This window comes from Homo sapiens, chromosome 8 (assembly GCF_000001405.40).
Source record: "Homo sapiens chromosome 8, GRCh38.p14 Primary Assembly".
In the NCBI taxonomy this organism is placed as follows: domain Eukaryota; kingdom Metazoa; phylum Chordata; class Mammalia; order Primates; family Hominidae; genus Homo; species Homo sapiens.
Window position 1 is genome coordinate 64,544,090 of NC_000008.11, and position 13,387 is coordinate 64,557,476.

Genomic DNA, 13,387 nt, shown 5'->3' on the forward strand with positions numbered 1-13,387 from the left:
GTACTATAAGTTACTCCAAAGGAATATAATACAAATAATCCTCCTACATCCCCCCAAAAGGAAAGCATTACCAGAACTCAAGGTAGCATTCAGTTTAAGTGGGTCCAAATTTTTTCAGCAACTCTCTAATTTACCTGGAGTTAAATGATGTCTTTGGTGTGTGTCTTTCACAGTGTTCTGTGTGTATATGTGTAACAAAATAATACTAAGAACACATTTCTCCAGAGACTTGACACAACATCCAAAAAATATATACATATTTCTTTTTTTAATCTCAAGTAATTTGCTTAGATATTAAGAAAAATGATGGGACTAAAAGTAGGGGTAGGGGATAAGGAGAAATTACGTTTACAAGTTATTAACCATTGAGTATAAATACTACATTAAAAATTAATATTTTCTGATAAAGTTGAAATTTCCAGTCACTGAGAAAATGATGCATTATTCACTAAATGGTATTGGAACAAATTACAATCATCTGTATGACAAATTAAAGGAGTTCATATATTATACAGCACCAAAATAAATTTCATATGAATTACAGATTTAAATATAAAAAATAAAACCATAAAATATTAACAGAAAATAGGAGTGTTGATTTATGTAATCATGTGTGTAGAAGGCCTTTGTAAAGATTTTGCCAAAAGCAGAAAGCATTAAAAAAGATATTATTAAACTTGATCACATAAAATTTAGAACTTATGTATATTAAAGATCCACTGTAAAAAAAATAAAGCAATATGGAAAATTTAGGAAAAAATATTTCCAACTTATGATAGAAACAGAATTGAGGTACTAAAATCCTCTCACAAACAAATTAGAAAAACAAAACAGCTAGCAAAAAAAGTTACCAATGAAATGAAAAAGCACTTCACAAAAACTAAAATCAGCTACTCCACAGCATATAAAAAATGTACAAAGCACTAGTAATCAAGGAAATGCACATTAAAACAATAATGAGATGCTCTTATTTATCCATCAAATTGGGCTAAAGATTTTTTTGAAGCTAAAATCCTGGAGATTGGCAAGTATTCAGAAAAATGGTCCCTCTGAGAAATATAAATTGTTGGGAATATGAATGAAAAGACTTAGAATTATTCTTACCCTTTTCCCAGTGCTCTCACTCCTGGAAATTATCCTAAAGAACTAGGCATGAATGGCAATTTAATAATACATATCAGAGAATCACAGAGCAGACTGACTCATTCACCTCCATTGCAACTATCTGTCAATGAATATAGACCTACATAACCAATTTTAACGGCTTTATAATACTGCATTGAGGGAATGTATAATTTATGTGTTCATTGCCATTCTGACAGACATTGAGGATGTTTCAAGATGTTACTTTTGTTTAAAAATATTCCAAAAACATCCTACTAAATATATCTTTGTATGCATCCCCAATTTGTTTTTTAAGATTAATTCCTAGGTGTAGAATTACTGAGTCAAAGTGTGCCCATTTAAATTTAAGTATGGTGTTAAAAAGCTGTAACAATTTATTCCCTCCAGCATTATACAGGTGCCATTTTTCACACTCTTCCTTCAGAGAATGTTAACAATCCTTTCCAGCATTATCTTTCTTATTGGTAAAAATTAATATCTCCTAGCTTTATTTGGTAACTCTTTTTTGTACATAATAGAGAATGAATTTGCCCATTTTCCTATTTGTTATGTTAACCATTTTAAAACAATCTTGTTATATCAAGAATATTATTTTTTTCTACCTATACATTGCAAATAGGTTCTCCAAATACAGTTACCTTTAAACTTTGCTAACATTGATTTTTTTCCCAGTATAAAAATGTTTAATTTCTACATAGTTATATCTTTAAACTTTTCCTTTATGGTTTCTATACTTGATGTAATTTCCAGAAAGTCCTTCCCACTTGGCATAAATAATAGAAATATTCATTATATTCACTTTTAAAAATATTTTATGAAAAATTTCAGATATATATGAAAATGAAGAGAATAACACATAGACCGATCCCAAGGTCCAGACTTAACCAAACATTGGCAACTCTCGCTTTATTTATCCCTGTTTCTATTTTAACAGTTTTTCTTTACCGAGGTATTTTGAAGCAAATTCCTGACATTATACCATCCCTATGTCATTCACGGTTCATCTCTAAAAATAATTCTTACAAATCCACAATGACATTTTCACAGCTAACAAAATTAACAATTTTTGGTATCATTTATCCCAACTATAATCAAATTTACCAAGTTGACTAAAAGGTGTCTTTTTATAGCTGTTGGTTTGAATCAGTATCTAAGCAAGTCCCACACACTACTTCGGATTTCATGTGTCTTAGATCTCTTTTAATATAAGAAAGTCCTCTTCTTTTATTTTTCTTTTTGCTATTGAATTGTGGCAGAGGCCAGATTAATGATCCTTAAAAAATGTTTCCATTTTTCAGATGTAGCTGTCTACTTCCTTAGGGTTTCATTTAACTTATTCCTCTATCCCATAATTCTCGTAAATAGAAGTTAGCTCTAGAAGCTAAATTAGACTTGAGTTTAGTGCGTGTGCACGCGCACGTGTGTGTGCATGTGTGTTTTACAAGAACACCTCATAGGTGTTACTGTGGGCTCCATATAGTCTCATATCTGAATCAAACATCTGATTGTCCCACTTAATGATGGAAAGACAGATCAAAGGATTGATTTAGTTTTCTCATGAACTAGAGCTATTGATTGCCCTGAATTTTCCTCTTTTAATGGCAAATTTCAGAGTAAGAATGAGGCACTTAGTTACTTCAAGGTGTGTCCAATGACTGTACTTTATTTTTATTTTTTGCATTATGAAACTATGGTTTTCATATATTCAATGTGTGAGTCATTTGTTCTTTTTTTTTTTTTTTTGATGCTCAAATGGTGCCATTTTGGCCAATTTGGACTTTTCATGTTGGCTCCAATGTCATTTGACATAAAATTAATAAGTTTTTAAGTAAATGTTAGTTTCAGAATAGTTTTACATTTATAGAAAAGTTTCAAAGATAATACAGAATTCCCATGTATAACCCACACCCATTTTCTCCTGTTATTAACATCTTACATTAGTATGGTACGTTTGTCACAATGAGCCAATGTTGATTGTTATTAACTGAAGTCCCTTCTTTATTCATAATTCCTTAGTTTTTACCTAATGTCCATTTTATGTTGCAAGATTCTATCCAAAACACCATATTGCATTAGTTGTTGTGTCTTCTTAGATTCCTTTTGTCTGTGACAGTTTCTCAAACATTCTTGGTTATTAACAGTTTTCAATATCTGAGATTCCATCTTGTATTTCTCCTGCTCCAGACTTGTAATTAGTCATTTATCAAAGTACCCTGATTTCTTTAAGTAGAGAATCATATTTAAAGACTACAAACTGGAGAAGTGTGCTCATTGTTATGACATTGTCATTGCATTTAAGCTTTTTCAGCAAGCATAACTAAAAATACATATTTTGGGGTAAAAGCAAATTTATACTGATATTTCCAAAGCAAAGTTAACATTATAAAATTTTTACTTAAATTATTTCACTTTATACTTTTATTTTAGAGTAAAAATCCTAACTCCTAACATCATAGATATAATTACTTATTAGTATTATTTTATGATGTATAAAAAACAGTCTCAAAACAATACCAATGGCCTGGTGCGGTGGCTCATGCCCGTAATCCCAGCACTTTGGGAGGCCAAGGCAGGTGGATCACAAGGTCAGGAGTTTGAGACCAGCCTGACCAACATAGTAAAACCCCGTCTCTACTAAAAATAGTAGTAGAGATGGGCATGGTCGCACCCACCTGTAATCCCAGCTACTCAGGAGGCTGAGGCAGGAGAATTGCTTGAATCCAGGAGGGAGAGGTTGCAGTGAGCTGAGATTGCACCACTGCACTCCAGCCTGGGTGACAGAGTGAGACTCTGTCTCAAAAACAAACAACCAACCAAACAACAATACCAATATCATTACTGATAATTAGACTACTAAATGGAGTTTAGGGTTTCTTGGCAATTTTTTTCTTTTGAAATATATTCCAATAAATATGTATAATCAAAATACTTTATTCTAAACTCAATTGAAAGAACACTCCTCTCTCTGATATAAATTTAGGTTTATTTATTTCCATTTTCATGGCTTTTTTATTAAGTTAATTTTATGATTATGCAACACATATGTTTCCAAAGCCATTTACAAAATATATATGTATAATTATTTTTAAAATGCCCTTTTTAGAAATAAAGGTTTTAAATTATTTTCCTAATATATGTCATTTAGTGGCTTTGATGATTATGTTGGATTTTTAGCTTTTACATGAGTTTATCAGTTAGTTCCAAATATGTCAGATCAACTAACTTTATTTGCTACTTCAGTTATGGCCTGATCCACCTGCAGGTATGTCTCCAGACCAATGACAGTTTTAATATACAAATTCTTAAAGGAACCAAAATATCATATAGAGCAAATTAATGTACTATAGTAATATAATTGTCACAAAAGAATCTTCAAAAAAGTTAGAACGGTACTTTTTAAAGCTATCAATGGTACATATAAAGATTAATTTATTTTAGAAAGTAACTTACCTAGTTGGAAACAGATCAATGAAATGATCCTTAAATTTCTTCCTGTAAGGCCTAAATTGACATTGTTAATCAAGGAGACAGAGTCAGCTTTGAAAAATCAAGGAATCATTATGCCTAATAAACTGAAGTAAAAATTACTAGTTGTTCAACATTAACTTTTCCTAAACTCAAATGTATTTTTATAAACTAATATAAATAATGTTTATGTTACAATTTTAACTGGTTTTCATTTTTATAACTGGTAGACTAAACCTTCCTTAAAGTTTTAGAAGTAAAACAAAGGCTCAATTGAATTTGTGAGAATAAAAAACGTTTTTCCTAATAGTCGTAGAATAAAATAGATTAGTTACCAGGTGTTTATTGTGCCAATGTAAATTGTAATTTACCAAAGGAAAATACATAATTTTCTTGGTCTTGCAAAAAAAGTTCTCTTGAAAGAACTCTTTCCAATAAGTAAAACCTCCAAATTACCAGTAAAAATAAATAAATAAATTAATTAAATAAAATAAAATTAATTTTAATTTTTTTTTTTTTTTCAGAGACAGAGTCTCTGAAAATGTGTGGATGCCAAAACAAAGTTACAAAAAACATGAAGAAATGAGGAAATGGCCCAATAAAAGGAACAAAATAAATCTCCAAAAGCTGACCCTAAAGAGGAAGCATATTACATTGAAAAAGAGTGAAAAAAGCCTGAGGAACTTAGGGGATACTCTCAAGAGGATCAATATTCATATGATGGGATGCCTAGAAGAAAAGACAGAGAAAGTGGCAGAAAATTTATTTAAAAAAATAACGACCAGAAACATCACAAATCTGGGGAAGGAAATAGCCGTCCAGATTCAAGAAGCCCAACAAGTACAAAATGAGTTAAATGTTAAGAAATCTACAATGAGACACATTATAATCAAATTGTCAAAAGTCTAAAGACAGAATTTTGAAAGCAGCAAAAAAAAAAAAAAAAAAAAAAAAAAAAAAAAAAAAAAAAAAGGGTTCATCACATACAAGGGAACTTCATAAGATGGTCAGTGGATTTTTTTTAAGCAGAAACCTCCAGGCCAGAAGAGAATGAGATGATATATTCAAAGTGCTGAAAGAAAAAAGCTGCCAACCATGAATACTGTATCTGGCAAAACCTTCCTCCAAAAATGAAGGAGAAGAAGACTTTCCCAGAAAAGCAAAAGCAAGGGAGGTCATCATCACTAGACCTACCTTATAAGAAATGCTAAATTTAGCCCATCAAGGTGAAATAAGATGATCAAAGAAGGACAAATATTACATGAATACATTTATATGAGGCATCTGAAGTAGTAAAACTCGTTGAAGCAGAAAGTAGAATGGTGGTTGCCAGGGGCTGGGGGAAAGGGGAAGTGGTGAGTTGCTGTTCAATGAGTATAAAGTTTCACTCATGGAAGACAAAAAAGTTCTAGAGATCTGCTGTGCAATAATGGGCTTATACTAAACGATACTGTACTGTTCACTTTTAAAAGTTGCTAAGAGGGTAGATCTCATGCTCTAATTTAAAAACCGTAAAGTGAAAGTACAAATTCTTTAATGTTAAATTTACACTGGAAGTGTCAATATGAATTCATGATAGTTTTCATTTTTCAAAAGTACATATTTCCTTGCCCTGTTCATTAAAAATATCTAAAAGCGATGGAAATCTATATGCTCTACATCCCATTCTTCTTCTTGCTTTTTTCACTTAATATATGCAAGAGATCATTCTATCTTAGCCTATGGATGTTATATTGAGTTACAATTTATAAACCATAAACTTGACCCACTTTAAATATACAATTGGATGATTTTTAGTAAATTACTAAGTTGCACATTCTTAATCCAGTTTTAGGACATTTTCATCACCCAATAAGATCTCTAATTCCCTTTTACAGTTAATCCATTTTGCCATCCCCAGTCCCACTAATCGATTTTCTGTCTCTATAAATTTGCCTTTGACATCTGCATAGTGTTCAACTGTACAGATGAATAATAATTTATTCAACCAGTCCTCTCTTGGCAGACATTAATTTCTTATATTTTGCTACTACAAATAATAACAGAGTGAATAACTTTAAATCATTTCATTTCATGTGAACAAATTATTTCATATTTTTACCATATTATACCTAAATGTATGTTAAGGTAGATTCTTAGAAATGAAATTGCTAAGTAAAGGATAAATGTATATGTAATTTTGCTACCTGTTACCGAATTCCTCTCCATAGAAGTTGTTTTATTTGCATTCTCAATAACAATATATAACAGAGTGTCTGTTTCCTCACAGTCTTATCAATTGAGAAGGCAGTGAACTTTGAATTTTGTCAGTCTGCAATGTAAGAAGCATATCCTGGAGAATTTTAGTTTGCATTGCTGTTATATTAAGTATATTTGAGTACATTTTTGTGTGTTTAAGAGTCATTTTCATGTCTTCTGTGAAATATTTGCTCATATATTTTGCCCATTTTGCTGTAGGATTGTCGATCTCTTTTTCCATCTTGGGAATTTTTAAATATTAGATTTTTTTTGGTAAAAAATGCATACATGTATTTCCCTTGTGCTGTTTTCCTTTTGTTTTTGCCATGCATAGAATTTTTAACATATCATATTATATATTGATATTTTCTCCATGACTTCTGAATTTTGAGACAGTTTTTTTTCTACTTAAAGATTATAAAGCTATTCATCCATGTTTCCTTCTTGTTCTTTAATGCCACAACAATACCTGATGTTAGCAGGACTTAGTGCTTCATTTAGTAAGAAACTGTCTTTCGTGCTAAGAAATACATATTTCTTTCTTTTTTCTTTTCCTTTTTTTTTTTTTTTTGAGACAGGGTCTTGCTCTGCTGTCATCCAGGCTGGAGAGCGATGGCATGATCACAGCTCACTGCGGCCTTGACCACCTCGGGCTCAGGTGATTGTCCCACAGCAGCCTCCTGAGCAGCTGGGACTACAGGCACAAATCATTACTCCCAGCTAACATTTCTGTATTTTCAGTAGAAACAGGGTTTCGCCATATTGGCCAGGCTGGTCTTGAACTCCTGGCATCAAGCAATCCACCCACCTTGGCCTCCCAAAGTGCAGGGATTACAGGCATGAGCACCATGCACTGCCATATTTCATATTTTAAAAGAACCAATTTGATACGGTTTGGATCTGTGTCCCTGCCCAAATCTCATGTGACAGTGTAATCCCCAATGTTGGAGGTGGGGCCTGGTGGGAGGTGATTGGATCATGGGGGTAGATCTTTCCTGAATGGTTTAACACCACCCCCTCGGTGCTGTTCTTATGATAGTGAGTTCTCATGAGATTTGTTTAAAAGTGTGTAACACCTTCCTCCTCCCTCTCTCTCTCTTACGCCTACTCCTGCCATGTAAGTAGTGCCTGCTCCCTCTCCTGCTTCCTCCATGATGTATTTCCTGAAGCCTCCCCAGGAGCCAAGCCAGCTTCATGCTTCCTGTACAGCCTACAGAACAGTGAGCCAATAAAACCTATTTTATTTATAAATTATCCAGTCTCAGGTATTTATAGCAATGCAAGAATGGACTGATAAACTATTAATTCTTATTTTATTGAATTTTTTAAAATGAGAAATAGGTGTTTAATATTGTCTAATGTATTTACCATATTCATGGAGATGATTATATTAACCATCTTTATATTTTTCAGTGAACTACACTTGGATATTATGTACTTTTTTAATATGCTGATAGATTCTATTTATTATTGCTTTTGAGATTTTTTGATCAACATTAGTAAGTATGATATATTGGTTTATTTTTTTACAATCATTATCAGAGGTTGATATGAATATCATGTTTATAGAACTAGAAATCTGGAAGTTTCCCTTCTTTTTCTATCTGGAGCACTTTAAGAAAAGTTGGTATCTAAACTTTAAAAGCTTGGTAGAATTCCCTATGAAATCATCTAGTAGTCCCTGTCTTTTCATTGAGGAAAACCCTCAAGATTCTGTTTTGTCTGCAATAACTGATTTGTTTAGACTTCCTTTACCACTGGGGTTAGGTTGGGTCATTATATGTTCCTAAACAGTTTTAATTTTATCTAAGTTTTTAGTATTATTATATAGTTGCACAATAGTGATTTTTAAAAGTTTTTCTCTGTTTCATTGGATAATTTCTCCTTTATTATGCTTATTTAATTGGTGCCTTTCCTTTACTAAATTTAGTTGTCTAGGTTTTATTTTTTCAAATAATCAATTTATTCATTTCTCTGATTCTCTTTCTATTGTTTTTCTCTTTTCTAATTTACTTCTAATTTTATCTTTGTTAATTTTTCCTTTTGTCTTTTGGTTTACTTTGTTGAGCACTTTTAGCTTTGGGGTTAAAATTTTAATTTATTTATTTTATCATCTTTGATATAGTTATTAAAGGATATAAATTTTCCTCAGAAAATTTACTACTTTAACAGTTTTCCATAGATTTACTTTATGTGTTTGCTATTACTTCCTATAAATTTTGCAGCTTTGTTTTATGTTTCCTCTTTGATCCAAGAGTTGTTTCACAGAAAGTTTAAAAACTTTTTTTTTTTTTTTTTTTTTTGAGACGGAGTCTCGCTCTGTCACCCAGGCTGGAGTGCAGTGGCGTGATCTCAGCTCACTGCAAGCTCCGCCTCCCGGGTTCACGCCATTCTGCCTCAGCCTAACCAGTAGCTGGGACTACAAGTGCCTGCCACCACGCCTGGCTAATTTTTTTGTATTTTTAGTAGAGATTGGTTTTCACCGTGTTAGCCAGGATGGTCTTGATCTCCTGACCTTGTGATCCACCCACCTCGGCCTCCCAAAGTGCTGGGATTACAGGCTAGAGCCACTGCGTCCAGCCAGAAAACTTAAAATTTTTACAGGGTTGTTATCTTCTAAAAAATTTGTATTTTCTTACAGATTTCTAGTTTTATTAAATTTTGATTGGAAAATCTTACTTGAATTATTTTACTTTCTGGAATTTGTTGAGGCTTTACTTGTGGTCTAGTCCAGTTAGTTTTTATAAATATACAAGTGCACTGAACAAGGAATATTCTTTAATTTAGAGGAAAATAATATATTGCTATCCAGTTGCTTATTAATTTTTTGTTTGTGTTTTCTATATTTTTATCATTTTTTGTCCACTTATTTACCTATTTCATAAAAAGATGTGGTAAAGTCTCCTGATATTAGAGTGTCTCTATTTTCCCTTCCATTTCCTGTAGTATCTCCTCTGTAACCGTTGCTATTGTGTCATTTGTTATGAATTGCAGACTTTAGCTTCAAGAAGTGTACTTCTTTGTCTTAGTTAATGTTTTCTGGCCTGAATTTTACATTTTCAGATATCAAAAGTGTAACTCCTGCTTCATTTTTATTTGCATTTACCTGTTGTATATTCACCCATCCTTTTAATTTTAACCTTTTATTTGTTTCAAGTTTCAGTTATGTATTAATCAGTGTAATCTCCAACACATTCATCAACATGATTTCATACATCTAGAGGAGAACTATTTCCTGGTTACGTAGAAAATTGTGCAGATGGCTTCTGGAAGACTTTCATTCTAAAGCAGCTTTATAGTGAAATATTTCATTTAAATATCTGGACCTTCTTTCTTCAGTTTGCTGTAATCTACATTCATTGAGTAAAATTTGTATTGATCATTGGGACCCCATTTGTTCCAGGGCTCTGGGTTCTTTCTGTCCCAGCTAACATCTGGATTGAATGATGCCAGATGCAAGACAAATTGTGCTGCTCCAGTACCTCCAGCTCCAATAAATACAAAGAGGGGGATCAAGCTCAGATGCTTCTTGGCCTGACTGAGAATCTAGCGGAGCATGTTTGTGGCAGAGGCCTCTGACTCAAAAGGAAAGAAAAAGCCTAGCCACCAGGCCCTGCGCTAAATAGTATCTAAATTTTAACTTTTTGAATTTGCTTATTTCAATTGTGTCTCTTGAATACAGCATAGTGTAGGGTTAGCTTTGTTGGTCAATATGAAAATTTATTTTAGTAATCAAGATAAGCTGTTACTTTTATGAATATTATTGATATGTTTGCTTTCAGTATTATCATATTGTTGTATGTTACATTTGCCACATACTATGTGGTCTCTTTTCCTTCCTATTTATTTTCCTTTAGTGTTTAGGAAAGTGTGTATATTTATTGAAGTCCTTACATTTATACCAACACCTCTATATAATATCTTTAGTCACCTCTATAGTAATTCACTGTCTTTTGGTTCTCTAATATGGGGAGTACTAAAGTTAGCTAGTACTAGCTAAAAAGGCAGAGTCACAAGGGACAAAGTAAATAAAGGTACAAGGGAGAATCCTTTTTGAATGGGTTTGTGACTGTAGCAAGCCTCCTGAGGCAGCTCAGAGGAGACTGGTACAATTGTGAAGCATTGTACTGGCCTGAAGTTGCTTACACCATCACTACCTAGCCAACAAGACAAGAAACAGTAAACAAGATCAGAATGGGAACTCTCTAAATAGGGTGGGGCCATTATCAGGGAAAGAGCATAGAAGAGAATAATATGCAAAAAAAGCTGATATCAAAAAGACACTTCAAAATCTTGCTTGGGTTTGGCTTCATTAGTTAGAGATTCTCACCAAAAATTCCTTAATTCCAGACCCAGAGCAAGCATCCTATGATTCCATTTTTAATCTAAACTGCCAGCTTGCCAAATTTTAAACCTATTCAATTATTCTTGGAAATAGAAAATGAAGTTTGGATTAAATTCTATTGAGGCCACCGTTAGTATCAAAGAGGTCTTTTCCACAGAACATCCTGACAAGAAAGTTTTTGGTAACTAATGATGAGTTATAACAAATGTTGATAGTACAGGCCCAGAACTCAGCAAAGACTAAACATTTATAATGGTTTAATTTCCAATCACAATTTTTTCTTCTCCTCCTTATGCTTTCTCAGTACCCCCACCATGCCATGTCCCTGTGAAAGTGCTTCATCAGGGTCAAATTGGCTAACTTGACATGCTGGTAGTGAAAAGATTAAAAACAGATGGCAAGAGGCAGAAGAAGGAAAAAGAATACTTCTTCATGTATTCATTCATCACTTACTAAGAATAAACGAATTGCAAGTTACTGATCTAGTGCTGTACTAGACTCTCTTTGAACAATGTGAATGAAGCAACTCAGGTTGCAAAGTGAGCGATCTAAGGCATAGTCCCTCATAGCACCCAACTGGAATATTGGAGAGATTGAAGTTTTAACCTGTGTAAATCGTTTACCATGGTGTCATTGTAGGACCTCACGGAATAATTGCTAGTATTTCTATCATTATGAACTTCTATTAGTATTGGACCAAGAGGAAGGAGTTTAGCACACATGTGTCTGTGAAGCAAAGCATGCCTCCTTTTGTCCTTCTCTGAGATGGGCTATTTATCAAAAATAACAACAACAAAGATATAATCAATTTACCTGTCTAGAATGCTGTGATAATTTACTAATTGATACTGTAAAGTTCTTTTAAAACATCAAGTAAAATACAAATTCTAAATATTGTGTAATAGCTTTCTTTGATTAGCATCTTCCATACACAATAATGTAACCTAATTTATTTAAACAATACAAAGTTAAGTAATAGAAAGCAGAGGAATAAATAAATTAAGAGGCATAGTCCAAAGAGAAGGGCATATTTTCAGATGAGATTTGAAAAAAGATGGTGAGTCAATGAGGCAGAGAGACACTAGGAAGCTGTTCTACTTGAGAAAAGATATAGACAAGGTTTCTCCTTAGACAATCTGCTACATTCTCTTGGCACCTAATTAAAACATTAAATGCATCAGCATCTCAAATAACATGAATGTTAATGGCGATCACTGCTGAGACACAAAAGAGCACTTAATTACCCTTTGGGAGAGTAAATGCCATCATTACTGAGAATTGTTAAAGTCATATAAAAGTTGAAAAATGCAATAAGTTGTGGCTGCTAGCAATGAAGATCTGTGCTCCCCTCCTAGAGTCTAAGTTGCTGCAGGGACGCACCTGTCCAGCCAAGAACTACATTTTCCAGAAGCCTTGCATCCAAAAGGGGCCAGTGGCTAGTCTGGCTGATGAAATATAATGTGTGCTATTTCCAGACTCAGGTGGATAATTAGCAGTTATGCATTTACTATAATCATTTTCCTTCCCACAGTAACCCTGGAACAGACATGCTGAAGATAATAGCATAAAGAAAAAGAAGGATCCTGAATCCCAGAACCTCTACTTGAACAAAGAAACCCATGAGAGCTGCCCAGCTAGCAACATCCACGTTGGACCAAGCATTAGTGATAAATAAAGTTTTATTTGCTAAACCACTGGTATTTCAGGGTTGTTCATTACCTACCATTCCTAGTAATATATTTTTATTTTGGAAGTCAGATTTTTGAACTAAACATGCAGTTATGAGAATGAACAAGTATTATAGACTATGAAAAGAAAAGAATGAAGGGATGGGGGAAAAAGAAAAAGTTCTAGTTGGAAGAATAAATATGTAAAGTGGAGAAGTGAGAAAATATGATCAGGTGGTCAGGATGTCTGGAGTGAAGAGATAGACAATGGTCTATTTTTAAATATAGCAGAAAGGTCAGATAAGGTTCCTTTCAGTGCTTTGAATTTAGGAACCAGCATGTCATAATTTCCTTTAGTGAAAGCAATTTTCATTAAGTATTGGTAGAATAAGTCACACTGCAGTGGATTGAGGACTGAAAGGGAACTGAAGTAGAGAAATGAAATGTAAAATACTTTTTCAAGAAACTTGGCATTAAAAGGGAAGAAAGATATAGGAGGGTAGCTAGAGGAAGCTGTAAGGATGAAGGACAGTCTTGTTTTGTTATA

The 13,387-nt window shown here is 33.1% G+C and overlaps 1 pseudogene; it reads right to left on the minus strand.

Annotated features, from left to right (window-relative positions):
• Window positions 1-10,140: 10,140 nt before the first annotated feature.
• Window positions 10,141-10,386, minus strand: COXFA4P4 (COXFA4 pseudogene 4; annotated as a pseudogene).
• Between the last annotated feature and the right edge of the window lie 3,001 nt (window positions 10,387-13,387).